Raw genomic sequence first — 24,412 nt, forward strand, 5'->3', positions numbered from 1 at the left:
TGAACCGTATCGAATTCCAGGTCAAATCACTTATCCTTGTAGAATGTTTTTTTAACCTTTTGAGGTGTGTTTCATCAGATTACGGACTATCAGAAGTTTACTTGTCCTCAATATTCCGGTCTGCATGGTGACATGGCTATTGTTCTAATAACAGTGCTTTTAAGTATAAACCTAATATTGTCTACAAAAAGAAAAGTCACATTTATCAATGGACTGTGAAAAGTTGTAAGGGGATTGTGTAACTTAATTATACAAGCAGTGTCATATATGATACTATTCTTGAAAAATACCTTGCCATCTGGTCCCATTTATCTGAGATGAGATCTGTTGTTATTTTTCTTTTTCTCTTCTTAAGTTTCGCTAAGCTGCCAGCAAATATTATTTTCCTTATTTTAAACATGAAGAAACAAAGGTCCAGATAGGCCAACTAACTTATCCAAAGTAGTGGTAGAGCCAGAACATGAACCCAAGATGGTACCAAAGCTCCTGGTATTTTTTTTTTCAAACTTTTATTTTGAAATAATCATGAATTTTTAAGGAGTGGCAAAAAATGTGCAGGGAAGTTCCATGTATCTTTCACTTAGTTTTGCCTCATGGTAACATCTTGCATAACTATATTTTAATATAAAAATCAGGAATAGACATGAGTACAGTCCACGGAACTCATTCAGATTTGTAATAATCACTACCATAATTAAAATATGGAGTGGTTCTAGCACCAAAAGGCTCTCTTGTGCTAGCCCATTATAGCCACTCCCCTTTCTTCCTGCTATCCCTAACTCCTAGTAACCACCCATCTGTTCTCCATCTCTAAATTATTTCAATAGTGTCATGTAAATGAAATCTCACAGGATATAAGTTTTTGAGATTGGCTGTTTTCTCAGCCTAATTTCTTTGAGATCCATTTGTTTTGTGTATCAATAGCTTATTTCTTATATTGCTGAGCAGGATTTCATCATATACATGAATCAGTGTAACCTGTTGAAGGACATTTGATAGTTCTGGCTTTGCTTGAACATGACTTTTAGTTTTTTGGGATAAATGCCTTCTGAGGTCTGAATGTTTGTGTTCCCCCAGAATGCATAGGTTAAAACTTAACCTCCAACGTGATGGTATTAAGAGGTGGGGCCTTTGGGGGCTGATTTTATCATGAGGACTCAGCCCTTATTAATGGGATTAGTGCCATGATTAAAGAGACCAGAGGGACCTTTTTCACTCCTTCTACCCTGTGTGGACACATGGAGGGGTGCCATCTATGAGGAACGGGCTTTCACCAGGCATTGAATCTGCTGGTGCCTTGATCTTGGATTTCCCAGTCTCCAGAACCATGAGCAATACATTTCTATCATCTCTAAATTACCTTGTCTATGGTAGTCTTGTTACAGCAGCCTGAATGGACTAAGACAGTACCCAAGAGTACACTGCTATAGCCTATTATTATAATTGAATGTTTCGTTTTATAAGAAACTGACAAAATTTTCCAGAGTGGTTGTACTATTTTATGTTTCTATCAGCCATGTACAAGTGATCCCGATTCTCTTCATCCTTGTCAGCATTTGGTCTGATGTTTTTAATGGTCACTGTGGCCTTGATTTACATTTCTTCAATGGCTAGTAATCTTGAGCATCTTTCAATGTGCTTATTTGCCTTCCGTATCTCCTCTTTGATGAAATGTCCTTGTTTTTCACCCATTTTCTAATAGGATTGTTTGAATTTTTTTTTTAACTGCTGAGTTTTGAGAGTTCATTATATATTCTAGACACAAGGCCTTTTTTGGATATGTAATTTGCAAATACTTTCTTGTCTTTCCCTCCTTTAACAGGTTCTTCTGCAGGGAAAAAGTTTTTCATTTTGATGACATCCAATTTGACAATTTTTCCTCTTATGGTTTTGGTGTGAAGTCTAAAGACCTTTGTCTACTCCCAGACTCCAAAGATTTTTTTCCTTTTTGTTTTCCCTACAAGTTTTATAGTTTTACATGGAAGTCTATGATTAATTGTGAGTAAATTTTTGTATAATGTGTGAGGTTTAGGTTGAAAGGCTCTTCTTCTCTTTCTCCTCCTCCTTCCCTCCCCTCTTCCTCTCCCTCCTCCCTTATCTTCCTTTCCCACCTCCTCTATCAATGTCCAGTTGCTCTAGCAATATTTTAGAAAATACTGTTTTCCTCCCTTGCATCACTTTTCACCTCTGTTAAAAATCATCTGGGGCCGGGCATGGTGGCTCACGCCTGTAATCCCAGCATTTGGGAGACCAAGGTGGGCAGATCACAAGGTCAGGAGTTCGAGACCAGCTTGAACAACATGGTGAAACCCCCTCTCTACTAAAAATATAAAAATTAGCTGGGCGTGGTGGCACATGCCTGTAATCCCAGCTACTCAGGAGGCTGAGGCAGGAGAATCCCTTGAACCTGGGAGGCGGAGGTTGCAGTGAGCCAGGATCGCACCATTGCACTCCAGCCTGGGCAACAAGATCGAAACCCTGTCTCAAAAAAGAAAATTATTTGGGTATATTGGTGTGTGTCTGTTTCCAGGTCCTCTGTTCCTGGCTTGGTTGAACTGTGTGATCACTGTATCCCTCCTCCCACACCACATTGTCTTGATTACTGTAGCTACATAGTAAGTCTTAACATTGCATCCTATTCACTCTAAAGTGAATTTTATCTGAGATATTTAGGTAAATAAGGACCCAAGAGAGAGATGCCAGCTCTCCGTAAACTAGTGCCTATAACCAAGAGTTATTTAGGAGCTTTGGGTCATCTCCAACTTATTCTGAGAAAATCAGTAGGAAAACCACAAAGTAAATATTCAGAAAAGTGAATATGAGTTAAGTAATTTGGTTTGTAAGTCTAAAGTTCTGTACAGCTGTCTCTGAAGCCTGGATTGATAATGAAGTCTAGATCTTTGGGTTTGTTTGGGTTTGTCAGTAATAGCTATTGATGATCAAAAAAGCCATATGAGCAAAAGGTTTTGAGAAAAAAGTTAGGTTCTGGATTCATTTTAAAAAGTTAGCCACTCGTTTGTGTATTTTAAGAAATCTCATCTGCTGTACTGAAGCCTTATATATGTTCCTTTATCTTAAGATAACATAGATAGTACACCATTTTAGACTTAGAGAGGTGGTAGAGGTCAATTCATTTAACCATCACATTTTACAGGTAGGAAAATCAGGACCCTTTTATAAATGGGCTGGCACATCTGCAGATTGTCCTGGGTCACTGGGAAGGTGGGGGAGGCCGGCAGGGGCTGACCAGAATCAGCCTCACCAGTGGATACTCTGTCAGCCTTCTCGCCTGCCTGTAAACCTGTTTTCACTCTTTTTCATCTGGCATGGTCCTGAAGCCAAGGGCAGCAGTGGGCATTACTATTACACAGTACTACACACTATACAAAACTATGCCTCCTTCCAGCTCCCTGGAATAGGAACCTCTGTTCATAGACCTTTGCCTGGAATTAGACTGAAATAGGCTGTGCTCACTGGGCCTTGCCTGTTGTGGATTTTGGCTTCCCACTTACAGGGGCGGAGCTGCCTCTTGTGCCTCCCAGGGACTGACTTTGCATTTCCCTTGGCTCCCTCTCTGTGGCTTTGTTCCTCATTTTCATCACCAGCCTGCTACTAGGACTGGTCCCTGCTGTGGTTATGTTAACATCTTCTAGGGTTTACACCCCAACCCTAAGAAGTCATGTGAAATCTTACAGAAGAGCTGCTAACAATCAAGGGCATGAATACTGCTTTCCGAATTTCACTAATATTGGCCAGCTCCTTTTAGAGTTGCCCTGGAACAGAGAAATTTACAGCCAACTGTAAATCAGAAATGTCAGTTTGGGCTAGGGGGCCATGATCCAATAGTGGAGCAAGATTAATAGAATAATCTATACGTATTTTAAAGTATACTCATCTATAAAGAATAGAATTAAACTTTTATTGTTATAATATTGGCCTTTGGTTATTTTTATCAGGTTTTAAAAATAAAGATGCTGCATAATAGCAAATTATTACTAAACATTTATATTGGCCACAACTGTCATAAATCCAGAGTAATGGAAGGAATTCCTATTTTTGCCTTTGGATTTTATTTTATTTTTTTGTCCCGAATTTGCCGTTGAAAGAATTTTTGTGAACTTTCCAATGTGCATAGTATATATCAAGATACAATAAATTCAAAAGAAATAAAAGAGAAACAGCATAAGATTACCAAAAAAGGAGGGAACCAGGAGTAATTTTGAATTTTACTTTTAGAAAGTTTGTTTTTTAATCTTATTTTTGTCAGTGACTATTCTTGGTATGTTATTTCTGTAATTTCTTAGTTGTGTTCATTATTAACTGTTATATAGAACTGTCATTAGAAGCAGGATTGAACCCCATTGGAAGTGTTTTAATTTCACATCTGAATTTGAGCAGGCTGTTGAATATTGGTGGGATGGAATGTGAACCGACTGATCGCTTTTCCAATCCTGTTATTTTCCAGTGTGGTTTGGAAAAAAATCTCTACATATGAAGTCAAGAAAGCACAATGAAGCCTTCTGGTTAATGAATTTAGTGAGTTTCAGATTTTCCTCTCATGGAGAGTCCTGGAAAATCACTTCAGAAAAGAGTGCTGTGGGTCACTTGTAGAAGAAACTGCTTTGCATGCATATATGATTTAGAGCATTCTAAAGGCTAACATGGATTCTGGCCCAGCCTCTGATGAATAGAATCAAAACCTATTGATTACCAGACCAAGAATTGGAAACAAAGCCATTTGATACAGCTTTTAGGTTTATGACTAGCCAGTCAGATCTCTCTCAGCTGCTGAATGTAGAAGTTCACTGGACACATGCGTGTATTTACCGAAGCCTGACAATGTCTGACACTGTTGTGCCTTGACTGTGGTAGTGATCACCTGTAATGCAATTTTTCATAACAATTTTGTTGAGATATAATTCACATACCATACAATTCACCTATTTAAGCATACAGTTCAGTGGTTTCATATATTGTGTATCCATCACTACAGTCAGTTTTGGAGCATTTTCATCACCTACAAAACTCCATTCCCATTAGCAGTTACCCCTGATTCCCCTACATCCCCAGCACTAGGCCACCAGTAATGTACCTTCTATCTTTAGAGAGTTGCTTATTCTGTCTGGACATTTCAGTGGAATCATATAGTATGTGGTATTTTGTGATTGTCCTCTTAGGATAATTTTTTTTTTTTTGGGGGGGGACAGAGTCTCTCTCTGTTACCCAGGCTGGAGGGCAGTGGTGTGATCTCGGCTCACTGCAACCTCCGCCTCCCAGATTCAAGCGATTTCTCCTTTCTCAGCCTCCTGAGTAGCTGGGACCACAGGCAATGCGCCACCATGCCCAGCCAGTTTCTGTATTTTTAGTAGAGACGGGGCTTCACCCTGTTGGCCAGGCTGTTCTCAAATTCCTGACCTCAGGTGATCCACCCACTTCGGCTTCCCAAAGTGTTGGGATTATAGGCATGAGCCACCGCGCCCGGCCTCTTAGCATAATTTTTAAGGGTACTTGTAGCATGTGTCAGTTCTTCATTTTTTTATTGCCAGATAATATTCCAGCATATGGATGTATCACACTGTATTAATCCATTCATCAACTGATAAACATTTGGGTTGTTTCCCCTTTTTGGCTATTAATACCGTGGCTATGAGCATTTATGTGCAAGTTTTTGGGTGAATATATATTTTTATTACTCTTGGGTATATACCTAGGAGTGGAATTGCTGGGCCTTATGGTAACTGTATTTAACCATTTGAGGAATGGCCAGACTGTTTCCAAAGCAGCTGTACCACTTTATCTTCCCACCAGCAGTGTATGAGGGTTCCCGATTTCTTCACATTCTTGTCAACACTTGTTATTACCTGGTTTTTTTTTTTTTTTTGGTCTGTAATACAATTTTATGTGTTTTTTAATTCCTTTGCATTGTTGATGTTTTTCCTGCCAGGGATCGGCATTCACATACTTAAGGAAGTAGGGTATGGTTAGCTATGATATGGCTCTGAGCTGTAATGAAATTCTGTGCTAGGACCAGCTTGTCTATTTGTCTCTTACCTTGACTTCTGATCATAGCACTAACCAAACCACCATGATACCACAGAAATAATTGTTTTAGAAGCTCAAATCTAATCTTTTAAATCTTGAGATGTGTCACACATACATAAGAATGCATAAAATATATGTATAAGGAATAATTAATAGCTGGGCATGGTGGTTCATGCCTGTAATTCCATCGCTTTGGGAGGCTGAGGCAGGAAGATTGCTTGAAGCCAGGAGTTTGAGACCAGCCTGGGCAACGACTCTGTCTATACAAAAATTTTTTTAAAAAAATTAACTGGGCATGATGGTGCACACCTGTAGTCCTAGCTACTTGGGAGGCTGAGATGAGAAGATTACTTGAGCCCAGGAGTTTGAGGCTGCAGTGAGTTATGGTCGTGCCACTGCACTCCAGCCTGGGCAACAGAGCAAGACTATATCTCATATAAGGAAAAAAAAAAATAGAATTATAAAGCAAACACCCATATAACCCACCCACATCATAGAGTAGAAATTTACAGTTCTAAGTAACAGTTAATAATGAACATGACTGAAAATATGTTAGCATTGTAAACATTAATAATCATTAACAAATTAAATCACTTTTTGATGATTTTCCTTTTCTTTGTATCATTTTGTTTTTCTTTATAGTTTTACTGTATGTACAAACACACACACATGCACGCACACATGCATCCAACACCGCTACCCCAAAACATGAGCTTGAAGTTGCCTGTTTTTGAACTTCACATAAATGGAAACATACTATATGTATTCTTCAGTGACTTCTTTTGCTTAACATTTCAAAGATATTGTGGGTAGCTGTTCGTTCATTTTTTTTCTTTTTTGCTACTGTGTAGTTTTCTAGCTTCTGTGTTCTCCTGATGAACCTTTAGGTTGGTTCTGATATTTGGGTATTATGAGCAGGGCTGCTATGAATATTCTTGTGGATATTTCAGGTCTGTAAGAGTTTCTTCAAAATAGTTACCAAGGAGTAGAATTACTGCTTTCCTAGATAATGCCAGAGTCTTTTTAAAAATGTTGTAATCTTTTCTCCCACAGCATTACCAGCCTTTGGTACATTCAGACTTTTAGCAGTTTTGACAGTCTGTTGGTTGCTTCTGTAGCAGTATCTCATTGTGGTTTAAATTTAATCTCGCTTGAGTTTTATTATTACTTTTACCTTTTCACCCAGTGCATTTGCAGTTATAGATTTTTTTATTTTCTCAAAGAAAAGTGGACATTGGGCTACCTGAAAATCATATTTGGGCTAGTGAAAATTCATTGAGCTAGTAGCATTCTTTAGGTTATTCTGACTGAGAACTTGATCACTTAGATGATGAGTACTGTCAGATTATTTTTGATCCTATGGTTTTATCTGGCCTTACACATTTTTGTATAATAAAATTTAAAATTTATGGAATTGCTTATTTAGTTTACCAACTTGATATGCTACAAGCAATAAGTCTGTAGTTTGCTCATATTGATTCTAAGCCCAATATATAAATTGTCATTTATTTATGGTGAATTAAGTATTTATCCCTAAGAGGAATTTACAACATCTAGTTCAAAGTATTCTCAATATTAGGAAGTAATACCTATATGTGTGTGTGCATGAGTGTGTCAGAGTGTACATGTGGGCCAAAGTGCTGAAAGATGTGGCATTTTTTGCCAGAGGAAGAAGTTTACTGAGGAAAACTCAATATTCTAAAACTTAAAAAAACTTAATAGTAATGTAAAACAAATCTTGCTTAATTTAATGAGAACAAATAAGATTATTTAAGTGCGAAGAAATGGGGTGAAAGCAGAATTTTATTTGTATGAGATTAAGAATTGACCGAATACTCAGCATATGACTTCTATGAGAGCAAAGTTTCATAATATGTAGTGCATTCTCACTGGAGCTTTTGCTGTTTTGTTTGGTTGTTTGTTTTTTAACTTAAAAGAAATAACTACAAGTAATATATCATCCTGTCAGGTGATTCGTGTACTGTGTTAGAAAGAAAAGGTAACAAATTACTGTGTTTATTTCCAGTTCCTGAATGTAGATGAATTTAAGTTTGTTATAGGGGGAAATATTTTCTGTCTCATTGCAAGTGTTCTATTATGGCTTTCAGTTAGCAACACGTGCTCACCTTACTCTTAAGTATTATATATTTTTCAAGATATCTTAGGAATAGTTATGGTTTTATTTGTTTGTTTGGACATAGAGGTTTTACTCTGTGGCCCAGGCTGGAGTGCAGTGGCACGATCATGGCTCACTGCAGTTTCAACCTCCTGGGCTCAAGTAATCCTCCTGCCTCAGGCTCCGGAGTAGCTGGGACTACAGGCATGCGCCACCATGGCTGAGTTTTGTATCTTTTTTAGAGATGGGATTTCACCATGTTGCCCAGGCTGGTCTCAAACTTCTGACCTCAAGCAATCCTCCCACCTCAGCCTCCCAAAGTGCTAGGATTACAGGTGTGAGCCACCACATCTAGCCAGGAATATTTATGTTCTACCTGCTGTAAGAAAAGCCTACCCAAAAGTCAATTCTGTATGTCAATTAATTTTTTTGTTGATGGAGAGGGAGTAGTTTCAAGGAAAAGTGAATTCAGCAGATTCTTTACTGACACTGGGAATCTAAATGGGACTGCTGAATAGCTTTCCATTTTTTTGTTTTGGTTGTGTGATTGAATATGTTTTATACCAAAATATAGTTTATTGTTCCATGAATATATTTAATAATTGCAATATCTTATAATCTCACTCTAGATTGAATTTTCATACTGTAGATTGAACTTTCATACTGTACTATACAGAGTAGAAGTGAGTTTTCATTTTTAACTACATGAAATCTCAGTTCTAAGGTCAATAAATTTTTCTTCTGTTTCCCACAAGTAAGATCCCATTATATAAACCATCTCAGAAGATGTCCACATTAGAGAATAATGTTTACAAGTAGTTACCAAAATGAGAAACTGCCAGGCATTATTTACTTACATGACACGAATGTTCACTCTCTTGAATTTTCCTATAATATTCATAATAATTACATTAGATTCAGAAATTCAGGAATATTTTAACATACATATGTACTAAAAAATACCTTAGTTATCAGAAGGGAGTGTTTCATTTTGTTCTTTTAACAAATGGTTGCTTTTATTCTTTTGAGAATATTTGTTTCCTAGGTGAATGAGAGCTAATCTTTTATGCATGAAGGGCCTAAAGTGCTCTGATTTATATTAATAAATATATTGACAATTTAGGAAACATAGAATCCTTTAGACCTTTCCTATAGAGAAGAAGAGTAGTCTTTGCAAATTTGCTTTACATTGGTGAAAAAAGTCATCATTTCGAAGCCACTCATTTCATCGGAATTGGGAAGGCCACCATCTTATAGCTGGGCTTGTGAACCTTTGACTTTTCCCAGTATATATTGGACTATTTTGATCACTGCTATATGCTTCTAGTTCCTCAATCAGTATCTGCCACAGAGGAGGCCCTCTAAATTTTTTGTGGAATTACTTAATGAAATGAATGAGTGATTATTCGCCTTCACAGGATTGTGTGAGACCATATAAGGTGTGTAGAGCGGTTTGACCTCCCACCATTGAAATGCTCCTTACCATTAGCATCTAAAGTGATTCACTTGAGAAATGTGTGTGCTCTCGTGACAGTCTGCTTGTTCCAGCCTTGCTGGAATCTAGATCCACGAGAATCCTGTGTTCATTTTTCTCTAAAGAATAATTACGACCATCTAAGGTAATAGCTAAAGAATCGAGACCTGTAAGAACTCTTAGCCAGGTACAGTGGCCTGTGCCTGTAGTCCCAGCTACTCAGGAGGCTAAGGTGGGAGGATTGCTTGAACCCAGGAGTTTGAGGCTGCAGTGCCCTATGATTGTGTCTGTGAATAGCCACTGCATTACAGCCTGGGCAACATAGGGAGACCTTGCCTCTGGAAAAACAAACAACTCTTGGTAGTCTCCTAATAACCTATTCAAAGAGTTCAGAATTTGGCGGGTGGGTGGGGGGAGGGGGGTCCATTTATCTCTGTTCCTCTTCATATCTTTGCCAGAGAAGATAATTTTAAAAAAGAAAATATTGTTGTCATTTGCTTTTCTACGAAAGAAGCACATTTAGATAGTGAAGGAAAAGTGAAAAATGTTCTTTATGCCGTTTACATTGTCTCATTTAATTATCCCAGTAGCACTGCAAGGTTGGAATAGTGACTAGCCTATTTTATAGATAAGGAAACCAGAGCTCTTAAATATTGCGTTGTTTGTACTCTAGAATATACACTTAAGGGCCGGGTACATTGGCTCACGCCTATAATCCAAGCACTTTGGGAGGCTGAGGCGGGCGGATCACCTGAGGTCAGGAGTTTAAGACCAGTCTGGCCAACATGGCGAAACCCCATCTTTATTAAAAATAAAAAAGTTAGCTGGGTATGTTGGTGCACACCTGTAGTCCTAGCTACTCGGGAGGCTGAGGCACGAGAATCGCTTGAACCCAGGAGGCAGAGGTTGCAGTGAGCCAAGACGGCACCACTGCGCTCCAGCCTGGGCAATAAAATGAGACTGTCTCAAAAAGAATATAGACTCCAAGAGGGTTGCAGTTTCACTGGTTCTGCCTGGTTCACCCTTGTGTCTTCAGTATAAACCATGGTGCCCTGGCACGTGGATATACTGGTTGGTTTTACTTTTGCCTAAGATAACATCGCTAGTTAATGGAATCTACTGAGATTTGCATGTAGTTTTTATGCTTTCCACAGCCTATGAGCTCTTTTCACTGCAGTACTTTTAAGTTTTCTAAGACCGGGGTCCCCAAGCCCTGGGCCATGGATGGTACCTGTCTGTGGCATGTTAGGAACCAGGCCACACAGCAGGAGGTGAGTGGCAGGCAAACGAGCATTACCACCTGAGCTCTGCCTCCTGTCAGATCAGCAGTGGCATTAGACTCTCATAGGAGCACGAACCCTATTGTGAACTGCGCATGTGAAGGATCTAGGTTGCGTACTCCTTATAAGAATCTAATGCCTGATAATCTGAGGTGGAACAATTTCATCCCAAAGCCCTGCCACCGCATCACATCCATGGGACAAATTGTCTTCCACAAAACCTGTCCTTGGTGCCAAAAAGGTTGGGGACCACTGTTGTGAGATCATTTCGAGTTACACCTCTCTGAAAAAGTGGACATATTCCAGTGGTGTTTACCTGGCAGCTGTTGTAATGCTATGATGTAGGTCTTTTCTCTATACAGAACATGCTGATGCTGATGACTGTATTCTTTGGCAGCTCATAGTATGAGCATATAATAAATCTTATGTATGCACTTTTTACCCTCACTTTTCAAATTGTTATATTTAGTCAGTGAAAGCAACTAGAAAAAAGTAAAACTGATACCAGCTGTTATACATATTGCCATATCCCAGCATGATTTGCTCCTGTAAGCCTGGTGGTCACATACAGCAGTCTGCCTTTCCTGCTCTCCTACTCATCTTATAAAAAGACTCTACCAGATTAGCCCTCTTTTCTTTTATTCTGATTCCTGCTATTTTGAAGTTGTGGGAACCAGAGAAGGAGTTCATATTTCTCTACCATTCTATGGCACCTTTGCCCTAGTAGGATGGAGTAGTACTGAGCTGACATGTCAGTGGTATGCTGGTGATAGCTTCTATCACATGCGAGAACTGACAGTTAAATTTTCAGACATTCTATGAGCGGTTGTTAAACATAGTCATTGTTAAATGTTAAAATATACAAGCTTACAAGTTAAATTATATTTAATAACTGATAATATATACTCATCACTTCCTGTTATTTCAAGTGTTGCTATATATCTATGCTTTTAAAGTTTCTATCATGTCTGTGTGATGGAAATACTGTGCTGCTGTGTATCTTTTTCTTTTACTTTTTTTTTTTTTTTGAGATGGAGTCTCTGCCACTCAGGCTGGAGTGCAGTGGCGCGATCTCGGCTCACTGCAACCTCCGCTTCCCGGGTTCAAGTGATTCTCCTGTCTCAGCCTCCCGAGTAGCTGGGACTACAGGCGGCGCCACCACTCCCGGCTAATTTTTGTTATTTTTGCTAGAGACGGGGTTTCACCATGTTGGCCAGGCTGATCTTGAACTCCTGACCTCAGATGATCTGCCTGCCTCGGCCTCCCAAAGTGCTGGGATTACAGGCGCGAGCCACTGTGCCCAGCTTGGCTCACTGTTGTAAGAGCTAAGCTAGATTGCTCAAGTGTTTTTCCCTCTCCTACCTTGACATAAAAGTTTTGTCTGTGTCAGACATTCGTATTTTCAGCCACACCCCAGAGTGCATCACTGATGTTTGAGGTTCTTCACCAGCAAGCCCACGTCAGCACTCGGTCATGTCTGTCCAAAAGGTGCTTTGAACCCTTGGAGGATGTGGAATGCCATGTCGACCTCAGTGCCACCAGGGGCATACTCGAGCCCACCAAAGGAGCAAGTGAAGGGGTTGCCTGAGCGGCGCTCCGGAATGTGCTGCAGCCTTCTGCAGAATGATCTTTGCTGAGTGAGGCCTGCCTGTAGGAGCTAACTGGTATGTTTGGTAGTGGAGGCATCGGACAGTGTAGTCAGTAACAAGATACTAAGATAAATGCAGGGGTTAAATGCTTCCTAGAGTGATGTTTTTTAAGCTGGCTAGTTTTGTTTATTGCAGGAATTAGGTAACTTTGTTGGAGAGCAACCTTGAAGAGCAGTGGAGATGAGTCAGACTTCCTGGCTACTTAGCCAGTATCAAGTAATTAAAAACCACTCCATGGATGGGGCCACGCCGGCAGAGAAACCTTCTTACAGGGAATGACTTTATGATACCCACACTTTTCAAAGAGTGGGCTGCATTGAGCTGGTCTCATTGGGAAGCATGTTACCTACGAGTGAGTGAGAAAAGCTGCACAGGTGCCTAGCAGTTGCTCTGCTCATTTCACTTCCACTGGATGAGTTACTTTGTTCCCCATTCCAAAAGCTGACTGTTCCTATTCCCATTTAAACGGCACTTTATAAAATTCTCATGTGTCTTTACATTTTATGCTTGCCACAAAGAAGGAAATTCATTGCTTGATTAAACTTAAAATAGGATTTTTTAAACTAAGGGAACCTAAAAGCCACTCTTGACTCCAACATATCAATTTAAGCCACTGCAGCTGCGGTTTCTGTCCCGTCCTCTGCTGTTTTACACAGAACTGGCTTCTAGTGGAGCTCCTAACATTCCAATCTATTTTTTTTGTTTGTTTAAATTTCGTTATCTATGTTATTTAAAAGGTATATTAAAAATATAAGCAAAGTTGTTTTCTTCCTCCCCTCTAGCTTTTATTGAAAATATAAATGTAAGCCCAGAGGGGAAAATTATTTCCTAATTCTGTAAAGATTCCTGCAACATTTTCCTTCCAAGGAACTGGCAGTATCTCCTCTGTTACTCTCAGTTGAATATAGAATATTTGGGATTGTGGACAGGTCATATGTTTGTTTCTCTCCTTCCCCCGTGTTCCGCTTTGCCCAAGTCAACAAGCCATGGTTGCCAGGAGGCTCTTCTTGGGCCAAAGCAGATACCAGGACTTCACCTTGCTGTGACAGTGGTTGGGGACCAGGAAGATGAGCAAGAATGAATTTGTAAGCAACTGAATTTGCAAGCAATGTATTGATTGTAAATGAATTATTTCGTACATCCCTGTAGTTGTCCCCAGTCTCCATTCCAATAGGATCCCTGGAGCTGATTGGGAGAGAAGAAAAAGAGATACCTGATTGGTACCCCTCCTAGCTGTTCCAGTAGCCAGGTGGGCTTGGCAGAGACTATGAAAGAGGCAAGCTACAAGTGGATTGAGACTGTGGGGAATCTTACAAAGAAATAGGGTTGTATATTGTTTCGACTCCTTTTGCGTGGTTGTCTTCTCCAAGCTGCCTAGATAAGTCAGCAGAAGGGCTCAGATGAAACATGTTTTGTAAATGTAACTTTCAGGTAATGAAACAGTACCTTCCCATTATTGAGCTCTTTTTTTAAATAGCTAGTTTTGAGTTGAAACCAAGACAATAGATATTCATTATGCAAACCTTTGAGCCACCTTTATGGTATTACTGTCTTAGTATTGCTCTAATGTTAAATGTCTTCTCTGTTTACTGTAAGATAAAACCTTTGTGTTCAGTCAGAAAATAAAGGGACTCCTTGGAGGACTTTGCCAGGGGCTGCATGAAGATATGTGGCTGAGACCTATATACAAAGGCCTTCTGTGCAGGGTCTATGTGGCTCTACAAAAGTGGTAAGCTGAGCTGAGAGGAGAAGCCTACAGAAATGGAAAGTGGAGGTTCCTGTGTCCATTATTTCAAACTGAAGTTGCTCCTTTATTTAGAAAACAAAGCAACATGCCAGACAAGTACATAAACATTTCATGTAATTATATTAAGATAGGCTTGGAAAGTGCTGATGGAGACTTTAAAAACACCTGGTTCAAAAGCATGTATTTATCTTCTCTGAAATTAACTGGTGTTTTATGTCATTTACAGTCTAGTGTGCACACTTCTTATTTAGCAAAAAATACCACTTCATTTTCATTTTTTCCTTGTTGTAGATGTGGCACATATTACTACTGGAAACTTCGATGCCCAGTATTTTTTTCTCTATTCTTTTTATTAAAGAATGGGGTATCTTTTTAAAACTCTCTTTGCACACTGGCATGAACAGGGAACACAGTATTGGTGGAGATGGGGTTGGGGGAGGTTTAGAGGGAGGAATTGCATTCTTTTGGCATTCCTGAGAGGAAAACAGCTGTATTAACTTTTTTTTTTTTTTTTTTGGAAAGTGCAGAGGCATCTCCCCTGACTCTCAGAATTCCAGTTCTTTACAGCTGAGCAAAAACAGCATGGCATATTATTTATGCCTGGAGTCAGCATGCATGAATGTTGCTGTTCTGATTATTAGCCAAGAGAAAACAGCTGTATACATTACTAATAAAAGGACTTTGAAATGAAAAAAAAAAAAATCCAATAGTGGGGTTTTCCCCTATAAACAGCAGATGTGTACAGGGTTTTACCCCATGTCTGCCCTGTACTTTAGCACCACTGTCCTGGGAGGTAAATGGAAGCCAGCATGAGAGGTGGAAGTATGGTGAAAGTAGATATGTTTGTAGCAAAATAGGTATGCTGTGGTTGACTAGAGACATTTTAAGGTTTATTATTTTAAGAGAGCAGTTGTGCCTAGCCATCATTCCATTCCTCCTCCTTCGCCTCTCATAAAAAGAAAATATTGTGTACCTGCAAACATATGCTCTGCTATCAGCATTCAGACACCCAAACACCGAAATCATTTAGCAGCTCTTACTGCTGTCAGTAAGCAGATGATGGCGTAAGGGGTTTAGAATTTGATATGTGTTTTCTAAAGCATCTCTCAAAATAGGCATTGTCTATTTCTTGTTTGTTGCTTGTGGGAAATTTTTCGTCAAGTGTACCTGTACCTAACCCATGACTAAAACTTACCTAGATCTTAATTTCTAGATTTAAAAAGAAGAAAAAAGGGATCAAGTAAGGAACAGCGAAGTAAAGAATATCTAAGATTAAAAGTAGGAATAGCTACAATTACCTAGATTTCAATTTCTGGGTTATTTTTAGTGTGACAAAGTAAAGAGTGTCCAAAATTACAAATCTGAGGGATAATTCAAAGATCCTTTTTTGTTGTCATTGTTCCTGGGGGAATATGTTTCCTGGGGGAAGGAGCATATCTGACTGGTCCCAGGGAAGAAATGAAGTAGAACTGGTATTGAAGAGATATCTTTCTATGGGAATCCAGCAAAAATACTGGGTTCCAAGAACTTGCTTGCCTGGGGAACTCCCAGATTCTTTAAAAACCTTACATGTGAAATAGCTTAACATAAATATATAGGTTTAGACATACTGATTGATGTTTCAGTGCCTATTTTTATATGCATTTATATCGCTCAGGTCATCTATTTTCCACTTGTTCTATTAAGTCATGGTTTTGCAAATGGTCACCATTTAAATATAAGGGACCTATTTTGCTTCTTTCATATTCTTCGACATTTCCTCAATGAAAGAATAAGGAAAGTTTAGGAGTGAGTTACTTAGGGTGTATTCTACTCTGAGGATTTCAGTTTTACTATAGCTGTATTTAATCTTATATTAATTGGGCACTTATATTAATTTAGTGCCTGTATAATGTTGGCACTGAAATGGTTCTTTAGTGTGTTGTGAGAAAATTTCAATGAAGTCATTTATAGAAAACTGTTTTTCTCAAGGGAATTTCCCTTTCCCCTTTTCAGAAGTCAGAGGAAAAAAAAACTGGAATTAGAGTATAGAGTTAGAGATAAAGCGAAACGATGGCAGAATATGCTGAGACATTTGCTCAGGGGTTAAAAGACAGGGAGTTTATAGAACTCCCTTTTCTGCTTGTCATAAGGTTATCTGTTCCTTCTTTTGGACATCTCTCTAGAGGTGTTCCCAAGCTTTGTATCACAGATTCTTTTATCGTGGGGGTCCTAAACTTTAACCATTTAAAAATAAAAACCAAGGGTTACCAAACACCTTAATAGAGACTTCTCTATGAAGTTACAAGAAGTAAACAACCATATGGAAGAATTTGATGTGTTCTTTGAAGTCACTGCTTGTAAGAGAAGACAACGTGTAATTTTTGAGTTACTGTATGACTCACGTTGGAAATGTTTAAAGCCTTCTGTAGGCATGGTGTGGTGGCTCACACCTGTAATACCAGCACTTTGGGAGGCCGAGGCGGGAGGATCACTTGCACTTAGGAGTTTGAGACCAGCCTGGGCAACATAATGAGACTTTGTCTCTACAAAAAAAAAAAAAAATTAAAAAAATTAAAAATAAAAAAAATTAGCCAGGCATAGTGGTGCATACCTGTAGTCCCAGCTACTCAGGAGGCTGAGGTGGGAGGATCTCTTGAGCCTGGGATGTCAAGGCTGTTTGAGTTGTGATTGTGGCACTGTGTTCCTGCTTGGGCAACAGAGCAAGACCCTGTCTGGGGGAGGGGTGGGGCGCGGGGTGGGAAGCCTCCCGATGTCCTAGGAATAGAAGGCTTTTGCTGTTGCAGGAGTACTGAAATGGAATAGTAGGAGCTGCCAGTGAAACTCATTCAGTGTTGATGTAGCATGTTTTAAGAATGTGTTATTTACGGGGAAAACTCTCGAGTTCGTCAGCGAACTGAGAATCCATTCATGGGTGCAGAAAAAGATGCCCATTGCGGGAAATGTGTCTGTACTCTGTGGCACCTCCTTAGGTGGGAGGAATGTGGTGGGGGCTGTGAAGACTGTGCCACTTTCACACCTCTGCATGCAGAATGACTCTCATTCTCTTTTACCAAAGAGCGAATTCATTATTGAACCTGTTAGGATCCAAGGCATTCAAGCATATTTGGGGAAGACTACTCTTGTTCTCTAGAGAGACAGGTCTAAATGATTAAGTTTCCAAATACTGAGCTTATTCCAGAAATAATTTGGTTTCTGCATGCTTTGTTTTCTACAGCATGGTGAGACTGCCACTTAGTTAGACTGAGTCTTGTGAATTGAAGCCTGTTTACAAGAAGTCTGACATACACACTATTATTTTTAGCCTGAACAACATGAAAACCATCTATTTAAAACTCCCAAATCTGAATGACAGTCTCATCTTGCTTAAAATTCCTTCTAGTACTTTTTAAGCCAACAGAAAGGAACATATAAACAATTTGTTAATTGCAACAGCTGGTCCCTGAGTATCTTTATGTTAATGTTTGGAATCTTTGAATTTGAAAGACTTTTAGAAAGAGCATCTGGATTAATGTAGTGCTATTCAGACTTCAGTCTTGAGAAGTGGAATCGACCTCATCAAGACAAACAAACAGGGGCCTTATACAGATTGGGAGGGCGACAGCAAAGGCATGGTGAAATTTCTTTAAAAATCTTAGTAGAGAATGAAGACAAATGGTCTCGGTTTGGTTGTGGGTGAATAGCCTCTTATTTAATTTAGTATGATGTTTATCTAGCTGCTGTGGTAAATGAGGTGAAATCTTTTGTGTATACAGTTAATTCCCAATTATTCATACATGCTTTAGCCAAATTGCTGATTCTCTGTGGACTTTGGAGACCTTCCCCCCGCCACCCCCCCCCCCCCAATACAATTTGCTGTCCATCCGGTCCCATGTCCTAGTTTCCTCTCTGGCCATGCTTTCTCACAGGGGTTCCCAGTTGCTCTCCTCATTTCCATCTTTGCTCCCTGACCAGGCCCCTGCTGCTTTTGCTTTCTCGCTGCTTTTGCTTTCTCTGCTGCATTCCCTGGATTTGTCTGACAGTCCAGGGTTCTTGTCTCCTTGCCGTTGTCTCTCTCAGTCATCTCAGAGTGGTAATAGAGAAGCTAGTTGATGGCCAGGGAAAAGCTACAGAGAGCTAATGTCTGCTGCTCCTTGCTTCTCTTCCTGTCACCTTTGGGCCTTTGTTGAATGAACAAGTGGAGAGTAAGTAGAGAAAGGGGTTTCCTGAAACATTTCCAGCCTGTTCTTTTAAGTGCTTTTTTTCCTCAGGATTTTATAGTCCTATACGTGGTAGGTAGGCGGATGGGCGGGTGGTGGGGGAGGTATTACAGCAAAATGCTTACATATTCTTTTCACCTCTTGTTTTCTTTTTTGTTCTCAACTGGGACCTACTATTCTCCTCCCCATTGCTGAAAGGCAAATTCTTAGAAAGGGGCCATTTAGAGTATGTGTAGCTGAAGAACCTCAAATAGTTCTTCATTTAGCAAATATTTAATTTCTTGAGTTCTTTTTATGTTTTGAATATTCTTAGAGATACGAAAATGAATTTGATGTAGATTCTGCCCTTAAAGGGGTTTAAGTAAAATCTAGAAGCAGAATTTACACAGACAACCACACAGAAAACCCTAAATCTAAAGCCGATATGTAAACACATGATTACCATAGTAAGTGAGAACCTTGTACCGCGTTGGAGAAGTGTGAAGGGTCTCCCCAGAAGACATTGTTTTTCCTGGGGAGGGGATCACAGTAGTACAGATGTGAAAAATCTGCCCTAATATTTTTTGTTTGCACTATGTGGATGGAAATGAAAACTTACCTGTAACAAACAGTTTTATCTATAGAATGTTTTATAAGCCTATTTTTGTTCCTTTTCTATTATATGTCTACACAGAATATAAATTTACCCCATCAGGTGAAAGCTCAGCATAGGTGTGCAAGCCCCACTTGGCTAAAATATTGGTTAGAGCAATAAAATCCTGTGTTCCATTCCCAAACCAGTTCCAAGCCAGGTAATGGGTTGAAAAGGCCTTTGATTAGTTGGATTTCCTATAAACCAACTCTGAAGTACGCATGCATTGATTGAATTAATAGAAGAGCCCTTCATTCCCTTGCCAGAGCCTGGTGTTGCTTAATCTTTTAGTAGTTCCACTAAAGCTTTTGGTTTCTAAGCCCAAATGAGATTACAACCAGCAAATTTTAAAGAAGTGGAGCTAAGAGAGACGAGTATAGTAATAACAAGTCTGAAAAACTGCAAGAGGACACAAGAATTCTGAGTGAGCCTGGTAGTTTCTAGTGAGATTTCCATTTAAAGTTTTGATAGTTAACCTTCCATGGACTATCTCAGATCATTCTTTGGATTCATAAAGTATTTTTGTTAGTTTCCTTGCCATAGCCAAATAAAAATAATCTCTGAATTGAGTTAGGAAATTTAGTTCCTGCTACAACTGCAGATTTCATGTACAGGAAGAGGAAGGGGTGGGCAATTACAGAGGATTAGGGAACATCCCTTTAGAGTTCTTCCTGGGATGACAATGGTCGAATGAGATAATGTGAGAGTGCTTTGCAGTTGGAAAGTGCTGTAGGAACCCTGAATTCATCTGAAACTGTAGCTTAGTGTTTAAATGATGTCTGTTATTACTTTTTTGAATAGTCTGGAGTGCTTGTTAAAGAAAAAATTATTCTGTGATATTTGTTGAATGAAGCACAGTGAGGAAGACTTTACTCAGGGCCCTTGTAATAGCTATAGGGACCACTGCAATAGGGTCTTGCAGTGGGGGAGAGAGAATAGGCTCAATTCTGAATACATCATCATGGGCAAGTGGGAATTTATAGCCAAGGAGCAGTGTGGGGATCAGTGGATGGAAAATTACTAAGACAAAACCTAAGGGGTAAGGGGGCTTCTGACTCAATTGCCCTAATAAGATTCTTGGTGAAGACAGGCCAGGGTGTTGAGACATTACCTGGGGAGATGGTGGAGGATGAGGAACTTGATCAGATATTGGAGATGATCAGAAATTGAGGATGGAGGGTTCTGAAACTGACTTAACAGGATTCTTTGCTAAAACCAGATTCTACAAGGAAATACACATATGGGCCTAGCGGAAGATACAGAACCCTAACTGAAGTTTGGCTGACCAAAAAGAATCTTTGTTACTGTTAAGTATTCGGATTCCTGGGCCTAATGCCAGGTCTACTGAATCAAGATCTCTGAAGACAAAGATGTCAGAATCTACATTTTAACAGACTCCTTGGGCACTTCTTTTACCCATTACGTTAGAGCTGCTTAGATAGAAGTTGCAACTTTTTTGGAGTCTGAGTTTGTAGTTGTAAAACTTTGCTTTTTGATAGAAGGTGAGTATGAATGTGGTAGCTCAATCAGAGTGGGCCACATTGTAACTAAGTGAAGGGATTCTCAAACATCTGTCTTGGAGATAGAGATGGAAAGATTCATGTCTTGAAAGCTTATACTGTATTATATTTAATTTCCTTATATGATAAAATTTACCAAATAGCTCTGAGGAAGGAATCATTTTTACCACCATCTTTTTTTTTTTTTTTTTTTTTGCACAGGGGCAAATTGAAGCTTAGAAAGGAACTTTTTCTTTTCTTTTATAAAATTTTACTTTAAGTTCCAGGATACATGTGCAGAACGTGCAGGTTTATTACATAGGTAAATGTGTACTATGGTGGTTTGCTGCACCTTAACCCATCGCCTAGGTATTAAGCCCTGCATGCATTAGTTATTTGTCCTGATGCTCTCCCTCCCCTCACCCCTGTCCCTGACAGGCCCCAGTGTGTGTTGTTCCCCTCCCTGTGTCCTTGTGTTCTCATTGTTCAACTCCCACTTATGAGTGAGAACATGCAGTGTTCGGTTGTCTGTTCCTCTGTTAGTTTGCTGAGGATGATGCTTCCAGCTTCATCCATGTCCCTGCAGAGGACGTGATCTCATTTCTTTTTGTGGCTGCATAGTATTCCATGGTGTCTGTGTACCACATTTAGAAAGGAACTTTCTTAGGACCATACAACTGGTTGTGGAAGGAGCAGAAATTGAACACTGGCCTGTCTGGGTCTGAAGCCCAAGCTCTCAGCCTCCATGCACTCTGAATTGCCTAGTGCTGATGGCCACAGTCATCAGGGAATAGAGGTTAAGGGAGGAGAGGCAGGCAGAGGCTAAAGTGTCACTCCAGCTGTGGGCTAAAGGATGCTGACCTGTGGACATTAGCCCAAACCCCAGCAAACCCATTAGGCATGATACACTACTATGTAAATTTAAGGCCTAGGAGACATTTGTAGCAAGCTGGTTGCTGTCACCGAGAGCTCATATATTGACTTTGTCAAGCAAGAGTGAGAAGAGAAGATCACATGTTTTACTTAACATTGCCTGTAAACTTTTCACAAGACTTTTCAAATCAATACTTATGCTTTTTCTTTCCATATTGTAAGACACTCAGACTGGTAAGTGAAGGGACTTTAAAGCTTGGCATTGGTTTAGGGCTGTAGCTATGGGGGTAGCAGGAAAAGATGGGAGGAGGGAAAAGCGAAAGAGCTGGACACATGTGGACACTCAGCCGGGGCATCCCTGGGACCCCACATTCTTGAGATTTTATTATGTCTTGAGACCAAATATATGTGGAGGGAGTGATGGTAAAGGTGATAAAAGTGCAAGTTATAATAGAATTTCATAGATAGGGAAAATTGAAAGAAGGATAATATAGTTTATGGGTAAAAAGCCTGTGCCACATTCTGAGAGCTTCAGGGTCTTTTTCTTCCACACTACCCCCTTCAGCGCCTCCACATACCCAGGGGGTAAGCTCTAGTATTTTTGATTTTCATATTTCTGCCTTGTGATTAAATATGAATACCATATTGACTAGAAAATTGGTTTGTCTTTAAATTATGGTTTTGAAAAGGTTTACTCTCTTTTGCTATTCCATAGAGGTTAGTAGGCCATAGGGCCCCTTTATCTTATTTATTTATTTATTTGTTCATTTATTTAGGGACAGAGTCTTGCTTTATTGCCCAGGCTGGAGTGCGGTGGTGCAATCTTAGCCCACTGCAAAGTCCGCCTCCCAGGTTCAAGCGATTCTCCTGCCTCAGCCTCCCGAATAGCTGGGATTACAGGCACGCGCCACCATGCCTGGCTAATGTTTGTATTTTTAGTAGAGACGGGTTTTCACCATGTTGGCCAGGCTGGTCTCGAACTCCTGACCTCAGGTGATCTGCCCGCCTTGGCCTCCCAAAGTGCTGAGATTACAGGTTTGAGCTGCCGTGCCTGGCCGGGCCTGTTTATAACTATTATGCTCAAGGTAAATGTAGAATGTAGAAATTAAGGTGAATAAAACATTCATATTAAAAGCAAAACATTAATTTTGTATGTTCAGGATATATGGTATGAGCTGGGACACCTGGGCTTTGAGCCACAACTTCACTGTCTACAACACACACAAACTTCCTCCCTCCCCCACTGTATCCCCTCCCCCACCACCTCCGACCTCCACCCCAACTGTAAAAGTTGAAGCTGAGCATGGTGGCTCCCGGCTGTAATTCCAATACTTCGATAAGTTAAGGTGGGAGGACCACTTGAGCCCAGGAGTTTGATGTTAGCCTGGGCAACATGGCAAGACTCCGTCTCTACAAAAAATACAAAAAGTTAGCTGGGCATGGTGGCGACTGCCTGTAGACTGAGCTACTTGGGATGCTGAGGTAGGAGGATCATTTGAGCCCAGATGACATCACTGCACTCCAGCCCAGGCAACAGAGTGAGGCCCTGTCTCCAAAAAAAAAAAAAAAAAAAAAAAAAAAGAGTGTAAACAGGTAATTTTACTGGGCCTTAGTTTCGTTTCTTCATCTCTCTGATGAGGGGTGTGGCTGAATGACCTCTTTGGGGTTTTTACATTTCACAGTTGTCAATCATAATTTTCTGTGACCCTGACCAAGCCTCACTCTGACCTAATGACTCATACAAACATTTCTCTTCTTCTCTTCATGTTTGCGTATTTTGATTGCACATGTACCTTGGACTTAGTGGGGTCACTGGCAAAGCAAGTGTATTTTCTGAAATACACCAGAGAAGTGGGTGTGCACAGTGTTTTCCCTTGGGTCGAGCCATGCTTCTGCTGTCCTTCCAGCTGGAATCTGTCAGATGTGGACTGTGGATCTCCTGAGTGCTTAGTAAAAATGCAGAATCCTGGGCCCCTTGCAGACCTGTTGAGGGGGAGTCTCTGGAAGTAAGGCTCTGGGCTCTGCATTTTAATAAGCCCCTAAGTGATCCCCAGGCTCACTACTGTTTGAGAACATGAATGATTCTCCTCTAAGTATGCACTGTGGTCTTTAGATAGAACCCATGGTTCCCTCAAGGCAGGGGTCATGCTGTGTGTGTGTTTATAAATGAAACTTCTCAGGATAAATTGTGATCATCTAGTTTATTCACTCATGAAACAAATACTTGCATCCTTCTTTTATACAAAGTCCTGTGTTAGTTGTGGGAATGGAGAGAAGAGAATGTATCTAAGGAGGCAGAGCAGACAGATTTTGGCAACTGATTAGATATGAGGGATGTGGGAGAGGTCAAAGTTAGCTAGCGGGTTTGATCCGGAGTGTGGAACTCTAGTTGTGCCAGTACAGAAATGGGCAGACAGTCATTGGAACAGTTTTGAGAAGAAAGATGCCCATATAGGAAAGAGCCCATAGAATGGTTATAAAATATGCCTGGATTTGTGGAACCAGTTCTAAAGCTGGCATTACTTTCAGATTCTTAGTATCTTAGAGGTGGGTGTGATCTTGTAGATCCTGTTTCAGTCTCCTCAGAAGCGGGAAAAATTGGTATCATTTGGAGGCTATTGTTTAGGTTGGGGCAAAAAAATATAATGGGGGGAGACATTATATATAAAGGTGATATTTACTTCTTAGACTTGAGAGAAGCTGGCTTTCTTAATAATCTCTAACTGATTTTGAACCTCTATTAGAATAAGCCCTGGAAATAATATTGGAAATGATATAGGCATTCTAAGTAGATATATTCTAAGATGACAGCCTGGTGTGGTGGCTCATGCCTGTAATCCCTGTACTTTGGGAGGCCGAGGCAGGTGGATGGATCTCTTGAGCCCAGCAGTTCGAGACCAGC

At 40.0% G+C, this 24,412-nt stretch overlaps 1 protein-coding gene and 1 long non-coding RNA gene across 12 annotated transcripts in view, besides 4 other annotated features; both read left to right on the forward strand.

The window, feature by feature from the left end:
- Positions 1–24,412, forward strand: part of FNDC3B (fibronectin type III domain containing 3B) — a 362,092-nt gene that overhangs the window by 117,217 nt on the left and 220,463 nt on the right. The gene's annotated exons all lie outside the window — the stretch shown is intronic.
- Positions 1,918–24,223, forward strand: LOC124906304 (uncharacterized). Its single transcript, XR_007096169.1, has 2 exons — positions 1,918–1,998; positions 4,466–24,223. It is a non-coding gene; the product is annotated as an uncharacterized LOC124906304 (long non-coding RNA).
- Positions 10,167–10,706: a silencer, noted in NCBI's record as "fragment chr3:171884751-171885290 (GRCh37/hg19 assembly coordinates)". NCBI's record gives its function as "represses an EF-1alpha promoter that drives an FKBP-Casp9 reporter gene in an ReSE screen in HepG2 liver carcinoma cells {active_cell/tissue: HepG2}" and the evidence as "EXISTENCE:reporter gene assay evidence [ECO:0000049][PMID:32094911]".
- Positions 22,977–23,136: an enhancer, noted in NCBI's record as "active region_20823". NCBI's record gives its function as "activates an Ori minimal core promoter by ATAC-STARR-seq in GM12878 lymphoblastoid cells {active_cell/tissue: GM12878}" and the evidence as "EXISTENCE:reporter gene assay evidence [ECO:0000049][PMID:35858748]".
- Positions 22,977–23,359: a biological region, named in NCBI's record as "Sharpr-MPRA regulatory region 4529".
- Positions 23,065–23,359: an enhancer, noted in NCBI's record as "tiled region #4529; HepG2 Activating DNase unmatched - State 5:Enh, and K562 Activating DNase matched - State 5:Enh". NCBI's record gives its function as "activates a minimal TATA promoter and a strong SV40 promoter by Sharpr-MPRA in HepG2 cells, with weaker activation in K562 cells {active_cell/tissue: HepG2 | K562}" and the evidence as "EXISTENCE:reporter gene assay evidence [ECO:0000049][PMID:27701403]".

The sequence above is a fragment of the Homo sapiens genome, chromosome 3 (assembly GCF_000001405.40).
Source record: "Homo sapiens chromosome 3, GRCh38.p14 Primary Assembly".
Lineage (NCBI taxonomy): Eukaryota > Metazoa > Chordata > Mammalia > Primates > Hominidae > Homo > Homo sapiens.